At 48.3% G+C, this 13,846-nt stretch overlaps 1 protein-coding gene across 1 annotated transcript in view, besides 6 other annotated features; it reads left to right on the top strand.

Moving 5' to 3' along the window:
• Positions 4,363–4,657: a silencer, noted in NCBI's record as "tiled region #5371; K562 Repressive DNase matched - State 9:DNaseU". NCBI's record gives its function as "represses a minimal TATA promoter and a strong SV40 promoter by Sharpr-MPRA in K562 cells {active_cell/tissue: K562}" and the evidence as "EXISTENCE:reporter gene assay evidence [ECO:0000049][PMID:27701403]".
• Positions 4,363–4,657: an enhancer, noted in NCBI's record as "tiled region #5371; HepG2 Activating DNase unmatched - State 5:Enh". NCBI's record gives its function as "activates a minimal TATA promoter and a strong SV40 promoter by Sharpr-MPRA in HepG2 cells {active_cell/tissue: HepG2}" and the evidence as "EXISTENCE:reporter gene assay evidence [ECO:0000049][PMID:27701403]".
• Positions 12,006–12,968: an enhancer, noted in NCBI's record as "NANOG-H3K27ac-H3K4me1 hESC enhancer chr5:132386992-132387954 (GRCh37/hg19 assembly coordinates)". NCBI's record gives its function as "activates a minimal SCP1, AML or CMV promoter by ChIP-STARR-seq in naive H9 embryonic stem cells {active_cell/tissue: H9 hESC(naive)}" and the evidence as "EXISTENCE:reporter gene assay evidence [ECO:0000049][PMID:30033119]".
• Positions 12,155–12,204: an enhancer, noted in NCBI's record as "active region_23098". NCBI's record gives its function as "activates an Ori minimal core promoter by ATAC-STARR-seq in GM12878 lymphoblastoid cells {active_cell/tissue: GM12878}" and the evidence as "EXISTENCE:reporter gene assay evidence [ECO:0000049][PMID:35858748]".
• Positions 12,275–12,324: an enhancer, noted in NCBI's record as "active region_23099". NCBI's record gives its function as "activates an Ori minimal core promoter by ATAC-STARR-seq in GM12878 lymphoblastoid cells {active_cell/tissue: GM12878}" and the evidence as "EXISTENCE:reporter gene assay evidence [ECO:0000049][PMID:35858748]".
• Positions 12,515–12,694: an enhancer, noted in NCBI's record as "active region_23100". NCBI's record gives its function as "activates an Ori minimal core promoter by ATAC-STARR-seq in GM12878 lymphoblastoid cells {active_cell/tissue: GM12878}" and the evidence as "EXISTENCE:reporter gene assay evidence [ECO:0000049][PMID:35858748]".
• The window catches only part of HSPA4 (heat shock protein family A (Hsp70) member 4), a 54,437-nt gene continuing 53,309 nt past the window's right edge, over positions 12,719–13,846 (top strand). The window contains exon 1 of the mRNA NM_002154.4: positions 12,719–13,063. Coding sequence (NP_002145.3) covers positions 12,957–13,063 — 107 coding nt within the window. The 5' untranslated portion in view covers positions 12,719–12,956. The remainder of the gene's footprint in view (positions 13,064–13,846) is intronic.

Raw genomic sequence — 13,846 nt, forward strand, 5'->3', positions numbered from 1 at the left:
CTGTCGCCCAGGCTGGAGTGGAGTGGCACTATCTTGGCTCATTGCAACCTCCACCTCCCGGGTTTAAGCGATTCTCCTGCCTCAGCCTTCTGAGTAGCTGGGATAACAGGTGCTTGCCACCATGCCCAGCTAATTTTTATATATTTTTTTTTAGTAGAGATGGGGTTTCACCATGTTGGCCAGGCTGGTCTCGAACTCCTGACCTCAAGTGATCCCCCTGCCTTGGCCTCCCAAAATGATGGGATTACAGGCGCAAGCCACCACTCCTGGCGGGGAATATTTTTTTCTACCAGACACAAATAATTTACATCTCAGCTGGACATGGTGGGTGAGTTATGCTTATAATATTAGTACTTTGGGAGGATGCGGCAGGCGGATTCCTTGAGCCCAGGAGTTTGAGACCAGCATGGGCAAGATGAAGAAATCCTGTCTCTGCAAAAAAATAAATAAATTAATTAACCGAGCATAGTGGCATGAGCCTGTAGTCCCAGTTACTCGGGAAGATGAAGCAGGAGGATTGCTTGAGCCTGAGAGGTGGAGGCAAAAAAGAAAAGAAAAAAAAAAGAAATAATTAATATCTCTACCATACAAAAATTATTTGCTGCCAGGTGCGGTGGCTTACGCCTGTAATCCCAACACTTTGGGAGGCCGAGGCGGGTGGATCACAAGGTCAGGAGATCGAGACCATCCTGGCTAACACAGTGAAACCCCGTCTCTACTAAAAATACAAAAATTAGCTGGGTGTGGTGGCGGGCGCCTGTAGTCCCAGCTACTTGGGAGGCTGAGGCAGGAGAATGGTATGAACCCGGGACACGGAGCTTGCAGTGAGCCAAGATCGCGCCACTGCACTCCATCCAGCCTGGGTGACAGAGCGAGACTCCATCTCAAAAAAAAAAAAAAAAAGAAAAAAATTATTTTCAATTTATCAGTCTTCTATAAGTTAACATCTAATTTTATAGTCCGAGCCTTAATCAGTAGAAAACAGCAAGTCAAACAGTTACATTTTCTTTGAGAAGCACATGCCTATTAGATGGACTTATTAGACAACGATTTAGTATGATATTGAAAGGTCAAGCAAGCCAGGCGCGGTGGCTTATGCCTGTAATCCCAGCACTTTGGGAGGCCGAGGCAGATCACCTGAGGTCAGGAGTTCGAGACCAGCCTGACCAACATGGAGAAACCCCGTCTCTACTAAAAATACAAAATTAGCCGGGTGTAGTGGTGCATGCCTGTAATAACAGCTACTCGGGAGGCTGAGGCAGGAGAATCGCTTGAACCCGGGAGGCAGAAGTTGAGGTGAGCTGAGATTGCGTCATTGCACTCCAGCCTGGGCAACAAGAGCAAAACTCTGTCTCAAAAAAAAAAAAGAACTTCCATTGAAAGTCCTAGAAAAATACACTAACTTAAGGAAGTTGAAAGCAAAGCAAATGCTGAGTGATTGTGTGTGTGTGTGTGTGTGTGTGTGTGTGTGTGTGTGTGTGTGTCTAGGTGGGGAGAGATAGAATCAGCAAACCTGTGTACTCAGAGAAGGCAAATAAATGAAATCCTTGACTTCAGTGGTTCTCAAAAGAGGAGGCCTGGTTCTTTTATGTACGTTTCCCTTTAATTGCCACTTTTCTTTTTCTTTTCTTTTCTTTTCTTTTTTTTTTGAGATGGAGTCTTGCTGTGTCGCCCAGGCTGGAGTGCAGTGGCATGATTTTGGCTCACTGCAACCTCCGCCTTCCAGGTTCAAGCAATTCTCCTGTCTCAGCCTCCTGAGTAGCTGGGATTACAGGCGCCTGCCACCACGCCTGGCTAATTTTTTGTGTTTTAGTAGAGACAGGATTTCACCATCTTGCCCATGCTGGTCTCGAGCTCCTGAGCTCAGGCAATCCACCTGCCTCGGCCTCCCAAAGTGCTAGGATTACAGGCATGAGCCACCTCACCCAGCCACCATTTTTCACTCTTGCGCTTCTTAGGCCATATTCCTTGAACTGAGGCTGCACCTCCTCCTCTTCATCCTTGCATGCAGTGAGGTCTCAGGAACAGGCATGCAGGGGCCTGCCTACACTAGGAAAAGAATGGCCTGTTTCTGGGAATGATCTCCCAGAAGTTCAAGATGTGAGTTTATGGGATTTTAACTGCCAGGCAGAAGTGTTAAGAGCAGCCTTCCAAAACCAGCCAGGGACCACAGGTCTTCATTCTTTGTTTTCTGATCTGTCCCTTCCTTCTCCAATCTTCTTAATTTATCCCCTCCTCCCTAGGTCAGGCACGCAGGCATTGTCTCTCCCTATGTTACATGTGCCTGCATGCCCACACACCCACAATTGGGCTTGTAACTTTAAGTTCATAGTACCTTTGCAATCTGGCTTGCAACTTCATATTCAAAGTCCCTTTGAAGCTACTCCATGTACCCACTGAATACTGAGTTAAGATTTGACCAAATCAGACCCAAACAAATGAAGAGTAATGATGCACCTAGAGGAAAGTTTGGTTGGTCCAGGTACCCTGTATTCTATAGTTAGGCTATGGTATTCAGAGTCCTATCTTTTGATTCCTTCTTATCTTCTCATGGTGTGTGTGGGTTTTTGTTTTATTATTTTTATTTATTATTATTATTTTTGAGACGGAGTCTCACTCTGTCACCAGGCTGGAGTGCAGTGGCATGATTGTTTTATTATTTTTAGGTGGTTTCACTTCATCTCCCAGGCTGGAGTGTAGTGGCATGAACAGGGTTCACTGCAGCCTCCATCTACTGGGCTCAAGCAATCCTCCTGTCTCAGCTTCCAAAAGTGTTGGGATTGCAGGCATGAGTCACTGTGCCCAACCTCCTGGTGGTTTTGAATTAAAACAGCAACCTGATTTGGCCTATGGTAGGATCTCTAGAGGGATTCAATATGCTGCCACATAACTTTCCATTCCTTTAAAAGGGTTCTGTTATTAATGTTAAATTATTTTCGCCACTCTCCAAAAACAAGCCTACCCTAATGGATTAGATAGTGCACAGTCAGCCCCTTCAACAGAACAGTAAAGTTGGTAAGGTTTGTCTGCCTTTGCCCCTTTGAGCCTTCCTTCTTGTGCATGTGACTGTATTACATACTTCTTCCTAAACTCCCCTCATTTCTGTGGTTATCATTTGTCTTCATTCACGGGGAGATCTCAGACTGTTACTTTGTCTCCTAACCTTGGAAAGGAATTTTACTTTGAGAGAGGATGCCCTTGGAAAGAACATGAGAGAGAAGCCCTAATGGAGATATTTCAGGTACTATTCTAAAACTGCTAAAAGTGACTTTTTAATTTTATGTATGTGTGTGTGTGTGTATGTATGTATGTATGTATTGAGACGTAGTCTTGATCTGTCGCCCAGGCTGGAGTGCAGTGGCGCAATCTCGGCTCACTGCAACCTCCGCCTCCCGGGTTCAAGCGATTCTCCTGCCTCAGCCTCCTGAGTAGCTGGGACTACAGGGGCGCACCACCACTCCTGGCTAATTATTTTGTATTTTTAGTAGAGACGGGGTTTCACCATGTTAGCCAGGCTGGTCTCGAACTCCTGACCCCAGGCAATCTGCCTGCCTCGGCCTCCCACAGCGCTGGGATTGCAGGCATGAGCCACCGCGCCCGGCCAAAAGTGATCTTTTTAGTATAAGTAGGACCCTCATATATATATAAAGAAGAGTTTATTAAGTATTAACTTAAATGATCACAGGGTCCCACAATAGACTGTCTGCAAGCTGAGGAGCAAGGAGAGCCAGTCCGAGTCCCAAAACTGAGGAACCTGGAGTCCGATGTTTGAGGGCAGGAAGCATCCAGCACAGGAGAAAGATGTAGGCTGGGAAGCTAGGCCCCTCTCATCACTTCATGTTTTTCTGCCTGCTTTATATTCACTGGTGGCTGATTAGATGGCGCCCACCATCTAATTCCCAGCCTGCCCACCATCTACTTCCCTAGCCCACTGACTCAAATGTTAATCTTCCCAGGCAACACTCTCACAGACACTCAGGATCAATATTGCACCCTTCAATCCAATCAAGTTGACGCTCAGTATTAACCATCACACTGATCCTTTATCAAATTGCAAATATTCACACTCTGGGCAGGGCGAGGTGGCTCACACCTGTAATCCCAGCACTTTGGGAAGCTGAGGTGGGTGGATCACCTGAGGTCAGGGGTTCGAGACCAGCCTGGCCAAAATGGTGAAAACCCATCTTTATTAAAAATACAAACAAATTAGCTGGGTGTGGTAGTGAGCGCTTGTAGTCCCAGCTACTTGGGAGGCTGAGGAAGGAGAATCGCTTGAACCCGGGAGGCGGAGGTTGCAGTAAGCTGAGATCATGCCATTGCACTCAAGCCTGGGAAACAGAGTGAGACTCTGTCTCAAAAAAAAAAAAAAAAGTTTTGTAAGTTGCAGGAATGAGATGGCAGCTGCTATTACTGCAGTACAGTTCCCTGTAGGGGCCTCTATACTTAGGGACAGGACAGGGACAGGCCAGGCTAGAGCAGAGCTGGGCTGAGGAGGAGTCATGTTGGGCATCAGCAGACTAGGCCAATAGGGAGGACTTGGGGGTGGAGTTGGAACGTTAGCTGCCAGAGGTGGAAAAAAACCTAGTCTGGGGCTAGGTGAGGAGTGTTGGAGCCAGTGAAAATGTGAGTCATGTCAGGAAAATCACTGGTGATCAAGGGGCCTAGACGGAAGGTTTAAAATTTCAGAATGTCAGCTTATATGGCCCAGAGAAATCTGTGCAGTGTTCCCCCAGCACTTTTTTTTTTTTTTTTTTTTTTTTTTTGAGACGGCGTCTCGCTCTGTCGCCCAGGCTGGAGTGCAGTGGCAGGATCTCGGCTCACTGTAAGCTCCGCCTCCTGGGTTCATGCCATCTCCTGCCTCAGCCTCCCGAGTAGCTGGGATTACAGGTGCCCGCCACCACACCTGGCTAATTTTTTTGTATTTTTAGGAGAGACAGGGTTTCACCATGTTAGCTAGTATGGTCTCAATCTCCTGACCTCGTGATCTGCCCGCCTCGGCCTCCCAAAGTGCTGGGATTACAGGCGTGAGCCACTGAACCCAGCCTCCCCCAGCATTTAAAAGTTACAAAGAGGGAAAGCACTGGGACTACTAATGACGCTGCAAGCCATATACATTAAGTGAACCAGCCTGAATAAGGACAAAAAAATAGGGCTTAAGAGAAAAGGCCACTGGATGAGATCATAGTGCTGTTATGTAAGCCGACAGTTTGATAGCCAGAGTGGAGTAAAGACCCTGGGATTTTAGCCAATTTGGAGTTAGAAGTGAATTGTGAGGCCGGGAGCGGTGGCTCATTCCTGTAATCCCAGCACTTTGGGAGGCCGAGGTGAGTGGATCACGAGGTCAGGAGACCCAGACAATCCGGGCCAACATGGTGAAACCCCGTCTCTATTAAAAATACAAAAATTAGCTGGGCGTGGTGGCGCGTGCCTGTAATCCCAGCTACTCAGGAGGCTGAGGCAGGAGAATCACTTGAACCAGGGAGTCAGAGGTTGCAGTGAGCCAAGATCGTGCCACTGCACTCCAGCCTGGCAACACAGTGAGACTGCATCTCAAAAAAAAAAAAAAAAAGAGAAGTGAACTGTGATGGTAGTTTTTGTATCAAAAGAGCATTATGGGCCTGGCATGGTGGCTCATGCCTGTAATTCCAGCACTTTGGGAGGCCAAGGTGGGAGGATCACTTGAACATAGGAGTTCAAGTCCAGTCTGGGCAACAAAGAGAGACCCCCATATACACAAATAATTACAAAATTAGCTGGGTGTGGTGGCATGCACTTGTGGCCTGACTACTCAGGAGGCTGAAGCAGGAGGACGGCCTGAGCCAGGGAGGTTGAAGTTGCAGTGTACCATGATCAAGCCATTGCACTCCAGCCTGGGCCACAGAATGAGACCCTGTGTCAAATAAAAAAGCGTTATGCTTAGAAAAATGCTTGAGTGGCCATGCGAGGTGGCTCAGGCCTGTAATCCCAACACTTTGGGAGGCCAAGGTGGGTGGATCACTTCAGGTCAAGAGTTTGAGTCCAGCCTGGCAAAATAGTGAAACCCTGTCTCTACTAAAAATACAAAAATTGGCCAGGTGCAGTGACTCACGTCTGTAATCCCAGCACTTTGGGAGGCCAAGGTGGGTGGATCACCTTAGGTCAGGAGTTTGAGACCAGCCTGACCAACAAGGAGAAACCCTGTCTCTACCAAAAATACAAAATTAGCCGGGTGTGGTGGTGCATGTCTCTAATCCCAGCTACTCGGGAGGTTGAGGCAGGAAAATCGCTTGAACCTTGGAGGCAGAGGTTGCGGTGAGCTGAGATTGTGCCATTGCACTCCAGCCTGGGCAACAAGAGTGAGAGTCCGTCTCAAACCCCCCCCCCAAAAAAATTAGCTGGGCATGGTGGTGGGCATCTGTAATCCCAGCTACCTGGAAGGCTGAGGCAGGGGGAATCGCTTGAACCCAGGAGGTAGAGGTTGCAGTGAGCGGAGATCACGCCACTGCACTCCAGCCTGGGCAACAGAGTGAGACTCCAACTAAAAAAAAAAAGCTTGAGTAAAAAAAGCAGAAGACTAAACTATGTTCTCCCAGTATTTTTAACCCGGTATTTCTCTTTTTTCTTTTTTTTGTTTGAGAAGTCTTGTTCTGTTGCCCAGGCTGGAGTGCAGTGGCACGATCTCGGCTCACTGCAGCCTCTGCCTCCTGGGTTCAAGCAATTCTTCTGCCTCAGCCTCCTGAGCAGCTAGGACTACAGGCGCGCAGTGTTACACCCGGCTAATTTTTGTATTCTTCATAGAGATGGGGTTACACCATGTCGGCCAGGATGGTCTTGATCTCTTGACCTTGTGATCTGCCCTCCTCGGCCTCCCAAAGTTCTGGGATTACAGGCGTGAGCCACTGTGCCCAGCCATTAATCTGGTAGTTGTGTTTTTTTTTTTTTTTTTTGACAGAGTCTTGCTCTGTGTTTCAGGCTGGAGTGCAGTGGTGCGATCTCAGCTCACTGCAATCTCTTCTTCCCGGGTTCAAGTGATTCTCCTGCCTCAGCCTCCTGGGTTGCTGGGGTTATAGGTGTGTGCCACCACGCCTAATTTTTGTATTTCTGGTAGAGAAGGGGTTTCACCATATTGGTCAGGCTGGTCTCGAACTCCTGACCTCGTGATCTGCCCACCTCGGCCCCCCAAAGTGCTGGGATTACAGGCGTGAGCCACTGCCCCCAGCCCCCAGTATTTCTTATATTTCTATTTATGATTATACAAAGTTAAAGAGGTTTCCCACAGGACTTCTCAGAACCTTAAACATGGTAACATTAACCTATCGATATCTCCTAGAACAAACGCTGTCCTGTGAAACACAGTTTGGGAGGCCGAGGTGGGAGAACTGCTTGAGGCCAGGAATTCAAGACCTGTCTGAGCAATGTAGTGAGACCCCCATTCATTTCATTCTTTCTTTCTTTCCTTCCTCTTTTTTTTTTTCCCCAGAGTCTTGCTCTGTCGCCCAGTTTGGAGTGCAGTGGCGTGATCTCAGCTCACTGCAAGCTCCGCCTCCCAGATTCATGCCATTCTCCTGCATCAGCCTTCTGAGTAGCTAGGACTACATGCACCCGCCACCATGCCTGGCTAATTTTTTGTATTTTTAGTAGAGACAGGGTTTCACTGTGTTAGCCAGGATGGTCTCGATCTCCTGACCTTGTGATCTGCCCACCTGGGCCTCTCAAAGTGCTGGGATTAGAGGCATGAGCCACTGCGCCCGGCCTCTTTTTTTTTTTCTTTCTTTCCTTCCTTCCTACTTCTCTTTCTTTCTTCCATTTTTCCTTTCTCTCTCTCTCTTTCTTTCTTTGAGACAGAGTCTCTTTCTCTCACCTACGGTTGGAGTGCTGTGGTACCATCTCAGTTCACTGCAACCTCTGCAACCTCCACCTCCTGGGCTCAAGGGGTTCTCCTGCCCCTGCCTCCTGAGTAGCTGGGATTACAGATGCGTGATATCAGGCCCAGCTAATTTTTCTATTTTTAGTAGAGAAGGGGTTTCACCATGTTGGTCAGGCTGGTCTTGAACTCCCAACTTCAGGTGATCCACCTGCCTAAGCCTCCCAAAGTGCTGATGAGAGGTGACAACGTGCTAGCAGCCCTCGCTCGCTCTTGGCGCCTCCTCAGCCTGGCGTCCACTCTGGCCATGCTCGAGGAGCCCTTCAGCCCGCCCCTGCGCTGTGGGGGCCCCTCTCTGGGGCTGGCCGAGGCTGGAGCAGGCTCCCACTGCTCGAGGGGAGGTGTGGAGGGAGAAGCACAGGCAGGAGCCGGGGCTGCCCGCAGCACTAGTGGCCTGGTGTGGGATCCGGGTGGGAGTGGGTTTCGCGTGGGCGAGGGCTCAGTGGCCTGCACTCAGCGCTGCCGACTGGTGCCTGCTGGGCTTGATGGGGGGATGAACTCCCTCTGGGCTGCTGGAGTGCCCCGGCTAGATGCCACAAAGTCCCATGGTGAGTGCCATTGAGAGGTGAAGCCGGCTGCGCTTCTGGGTCTGGTGGGGACTTGGAGAACTTTTCTGTCCAGCTAAAGGACTGTAAACGCACCAATCAGAACTCTATGTCTAGCTAAAGGTTTGTAAACGCACCAATCAGCACTCTGTGTCTAGCTGGAGGTTTGTAAATGCACCAATCTGCACTCTGTGTCTAGCTAATCAGGTAGGGTACTTGGAGAACTTTTGTGTCTAGCTAAAGGATTGTAAATGCACCAATCAGCACTCTGTGTCTAGCTAAAGGTTTGTAAAGACACCAATCAGCACTCGGTCAAAACGGACCAGTCAGCTCTCTGTAAAATGGACCAATTGGCACTCTGTAAAATGGACCAATCAGCAGGATGTGGGTGGGGCCAGATAAAGGAATAAAAGCAGGCTGCGTGCCCCCCACCTTCCCCAACAACCAGCAGCGCAACCTGGTCAGGTCCCCTTCCACACTGTGAAAGTTTTGTTCTTTTGCTCTTCACAATAGATCTTGCTGCTGCTCACTCTTTGAGACTGCGCTGCCTTTAAAAGCTATAACACTCACTGCAAAGTTCTACAGCTTCACTCCCGAAGTCAGCGTAGAACACGAACCCACCAGAAGGAAGAAACTTCAGACACGTCCGAACAGCAGAAGGAACAAACTCTGGACACACCATCTTTAAGAAATGTAACACCGCGAGGGTCTGCAGCTTCATTCTTGAAGTTAGGGAGACCAAGAACCTACCAATTCTGGACACACTGGGATTACAGGCATGAGCCACTGTGCCTGGCTAAGAGATCCTCATTTTTACAAAAAAATGAAAAAATGAGTTGTATGTGGCAGCACATGCCTGTAGTCCTAGCTACTCAGGAGGCTGAGGTGGGAGGATTGTTTGAGCCCAGGCTGCAGTGAGCTATGAACGTGACACTGCACTCCAGTCTGGGTGACAGAAAGCGATCATCTAAAAGAAGAAATAGAGAAGCAGTGTAGTTGTGAGAAAATTGTGTGACCTTGAACAAGTACCTTAACCTTATCAGGTCTCTATAAAATAGGAAAAATATCACCTACCTGATGGGCTTGCTATGACGAGTAAAGGAATTATATTGGTATCAATACAGTGTCTGGCGTAATGCTAGCATATGCTGTAGGAATGCCAGAGACATGGTAATTACCATTATTATTGAGTTATTGGAGTTTTGGTGTTTAAGAAAGGGTTGTTGCTTTGACTAAAAGCATTGCTCCACTCACTGTAAGATCAGGGAAGTCAGAAAATCACCATTATCTGAGCAGGTAGTTTCCTTGTGAAGCAAAAAATTGCAGAAGCTGCTCCAGAGCGTAGGGCAGGATTCCACTGGACACTTGTCAGGGAGAAATATGAGTCCCCAGCTGATGGAGAACCTTTTGTCTTTTGTTGGGCAGCCTATGAACACTGTATATTTAAAAACAAACACTTCTGTGATTGCTTAGGACTAAATTTAATCGTTGTATTTGAGAGTGGCATTTAACAACTTCCTGCTTTTAAAATACTTAAATACCTAAGATACTCTGCCAAATGGAAAGAATTTGTTCTCCGAACACAGTGCCTCCAACATTAAATATTCTGGACACTTCGTTGGTTCGCAACTGTGATACTTGGAAACTTGCCACGTTAGATTCTTCAGGATTCTAAAATAACCTTTTCCTGACTTCATTTATTTAAATATCCCAGAATAATCTCTTAAGCTATAAGTTTGATGATCCAGGAAACTATTTATAGGAGGATGAGTACTCTCTGTGACTGATGGTAGTTATGTTTTATTTTGAGAAGGACAAATCATTAAAAAGATTGATAGGGCTGGTGGTATTTTAAACTGAAAGCAGTACCAAGGCAAACAAGGCAGTTGAGGTATGAAGTTGGAACATAATAAGATATGGGTGTAATTTTCATCAACTTAGCTAAGACCTAGGGAGGTCTTCCAATAGAAGGAAGGCAGAAACAGGCAGTAACACAGACAGTGATCTTTTAGGTCCACTGGACACTTTAGCTTAGGCAGCTCGGGTTGTTTGCTCAGTGATTAACAACTGAGATAAACAGATGGAGACAGGACTCTGTCATAATTAAGGTCAACAGTGTGCTTGGTATTATTGATATTGCCCCTAGGTAGGAGAAAAACAGAGGAAGGAAGGTCAAGGTCAACCTAACTTAAAAAAACTTTAAAAAATTGTGGTGAAATATACATAAAATTTACCATTTTCATCATTTTTAAATGTACAAATCTGTCACTGATCATGCACATTGTTATGCAACTACCACCAGCATCTATCTCCAGAACTTTCTCATCTTCCCAAACTGAAACTCTGTATCCCTTAACTCTCCATTTCACTCTACTTGTGAAACCGCTTTTCTGTCTTTATGTAGTTTATTGTAGGTGCCTGATACAAGTGGAATCATATTAAATTTTGAATATAAAATTAAAAATTAAAAAAAATTAATTTTGATTTGTTTGGCTTTCCACTTAGCGTATTTTCAAGGTTCATTCATGCTGTAGCATTTATCAGACTTTCATTCCTTTGTCTTTTCAAAGCTGTATAATGTACTGTTACGCGTATACACTAAATTTAGAAAACTCATTCATCTGTCAATGGACATGTGGATTGTTTCCTCCTTTTAGCTACCGTGAATAAACTACTATGAACATGGGTATACAATGTACAAATATGTCCCTGCTCTCGTTTTTCCAAAGGCTGTTCCTGGCTGCCTCTACTCTTTTTATTCCCAGTACCCTTTTACAGGTAGCACCTGGTACTTGTCTTTGAAGAATTAACAGGTTTTAGTTAGGCAAAATGTGAGAACAGTGTGGCCATTTGCAAGTTTTAATGGTAATCAACCCGGGTTTGGGGTTGCTCCTATAGAGTGAAGTACCTCCGGAGGTGGCAGGAAATGCAGGTATTTAAAGGGAAGGGCATACCAGGGCAATGTAATTTCTTCTTTGCTCATTCACTTTTAAAATGGCTGAAGGGCAGGTACTCTAGCCTTGAGACCTTCAACTCATGATGTACCCTCCAGCAACGGAGAATTTCTTTTTAGTCCTTAAACTATGGTCTCTATTGCTAGTTTTCCAAACTTGAACACAGCCTTTTCCTTTTCTGGGAAGTTGTCCTAGTCTCCACCATTCTGTGCATATAGCACTCGCCATTCTGTACTGGGGTCACCTTTACTTGTTTAGCCACCCTCATGATGGGGATGATCCAGGTTTTGCAGAGGTGAAACTTATATACCATTGGGGGGCCCTACAAATACACAAAACAAATAATTAAAACGACAAATCACAACACATTACTAGAGACTTGGAGATTCAGATTCTCCTTAGATCTCTCTGGGTAATTTATTAGAAATGCTTACATAGATTTGCTTCCTAATCTCAAGCTGGCTTCCCCTCTCCACAACTCAGCAACTATCTATTCTCCCAGGAGGCCATACAAGCGAGGGGCCCTGAAGCTTAACATTTATTAACTTCATGTAAAGGTCTGAGCGGACCTTTCAGGCCAGGCAGCGTGTCACTTGCCTGTGTTCCTTGTTAGGGCCTACCACCGGGTAGGTGCTTGGAATGTGCTGTGGATTAAAGGCTTAAATCCTGCGGGCCCCTCAATCTGATCTAAGGACATGAGTGGCTTAGAGAACGGCGCAACAAGGCTAAGCGAAAGAAAACAAAGCGGTGTGGCTGGGAGTGGGCTCCTTCCCTCCGCTGGTGAGGGTGCGATCTTAGACTCTTGAGAGAACCCGACATAAAGGCCGCGTTCCAATGGCGGCCTTCTCCCCTACCGGCCAACCTGCCCCGAAAAGAGCAGAAGGCACCCTGCGGGATCTGCAGATCAGCTTGCGTCTCATTCTGGGGCACCGACACGGTGGAATGCAAGACACCCCACTACCGGAAGTTTCTTTGATGTTAAGAAAAACGGCGGAAGTAGGCCGCAGCGCTTCCTCAGTATAGTGCCTCGAGCTGGCTCGCCTACTTTCTACGGTAAAGGGAGGTGCTCCACATCTCTATGCAGCTGTGCAGCGCCGCAGGTTCCATGCGCAGGCTCGGTTGGCTAAATGCGCTTTCCAGCCATCTTTCAGCCACCCAGTCCTTTCCCAGGTTCTCGAGCCAGGACGTGACGTATTCAGACGTACTGGGGGCGGGGCCTCAAGGGGAAAAGCGCCTGAGCCGGGATATCGCGAGAACATCCCGTTCTTTCGTAGCTCTGGTGCTGCGGCTCCGCTCTCGTCGCAACGAGATCTTTCGAGATCTTCTCCGCCCCCGCTACCGGCGCCTCCTCTGCGGCCACTGAGCCGGAGCCGGCCTGAGCAGCGCTCTCGGTTGCAGTACCCACTGGAAGGACTTAGGCGCTCGCGTGGACACCGCAAGCCCCTCAGTAGCCTCGGCCCAAGAGGCCTGCTTTCCACTCGCTAGCCCCGCCGGGGGTCCGTGTCCTGTCTCGGTGGCCGGACCCGGGCCCGAGCCCGAGCAGTAGCCGGCGCCATGTCGGTGGTGGGCATAGACCTGGGCTTCCAGAGCTGCTACGTCGCTGTGGCCCGCGCCGGCGGCATCGAGACTATCGCTAATGAGTATAGCGACCGCTGCACGCCGTAAGTGTGGGCCGGGCCTGCCGCGTGCACTGGGGTTAGGAGATAATGCTTGTTCCAGTCTGGGACCCTCGCTGCTTGGGGAACGCGGGCCGAGGAGTCGCCTCCGTTCCGAGCCGAGGTCCCGGTAGGTCAGGGACCCCCAGTAGGTATTAGGACACTAGGGGCCGCGGCCCACTATGAGCGTGGGTGTGTGCTAAGCGCGAGGGCCTTTTCCCCGGTGGCCCGTCGGCCGAAGAAAGGCTTCTGGCCGGTACTCGGACCAGCGGAGGGCACGGGTAGGAACTGGAAGGACTGCAGGCCTAGGATGTAAACGGATCGCGGTCCTTTTCTTGAGGGCAGAGACCAGGCCCAGGTCGTACTGAGTCTTTTGAGTCCAACAGAAAGCTCAGAACTTTGCACACAGCAGGCGCTTAATAATAGTTGAATCGAACGGGTTCTGGGGCTTGCCAGCCGCGAGACCGTGGAGCGGTCAGCGTCCCACGTGAGTGGGGGCGGGGCAGCGCCCGGAAGAGAGCGAGCTGGAGCAGCCTCAGGCACGGGTTCCGGATGGACTCGGGGTCTTGAGATTGGGTTGGCACGGATAGGAATTTAATAAAATCGGTGCTCTTATGATAACTTTGCAATCGCTTTTGTTTTCCACATTATTTCGGGATATTGTGCTATATTGGGTCACTCTCTGTTTTGTGCGCGTTAACCCCTCAATAGGGTTGCACTTTAACGATAATGCATTCTAACCAGTGTGTTGGCCACAATTGTTAGTGGCTCAAGGGCCCGCCTTGACTT

This window comes from Homo sapiens, chromosome 5, assembly GCF_000001405.40.
Source record: "Homo sapiens chromosome 5, GRCh38.p14 Primary Assembly".
Classification (NCBI taxonomy): Eukaryota; Metazoa; Chordata; class Mammalia; order Primates; family Hominidae; genus Homo; species Homo sapiens.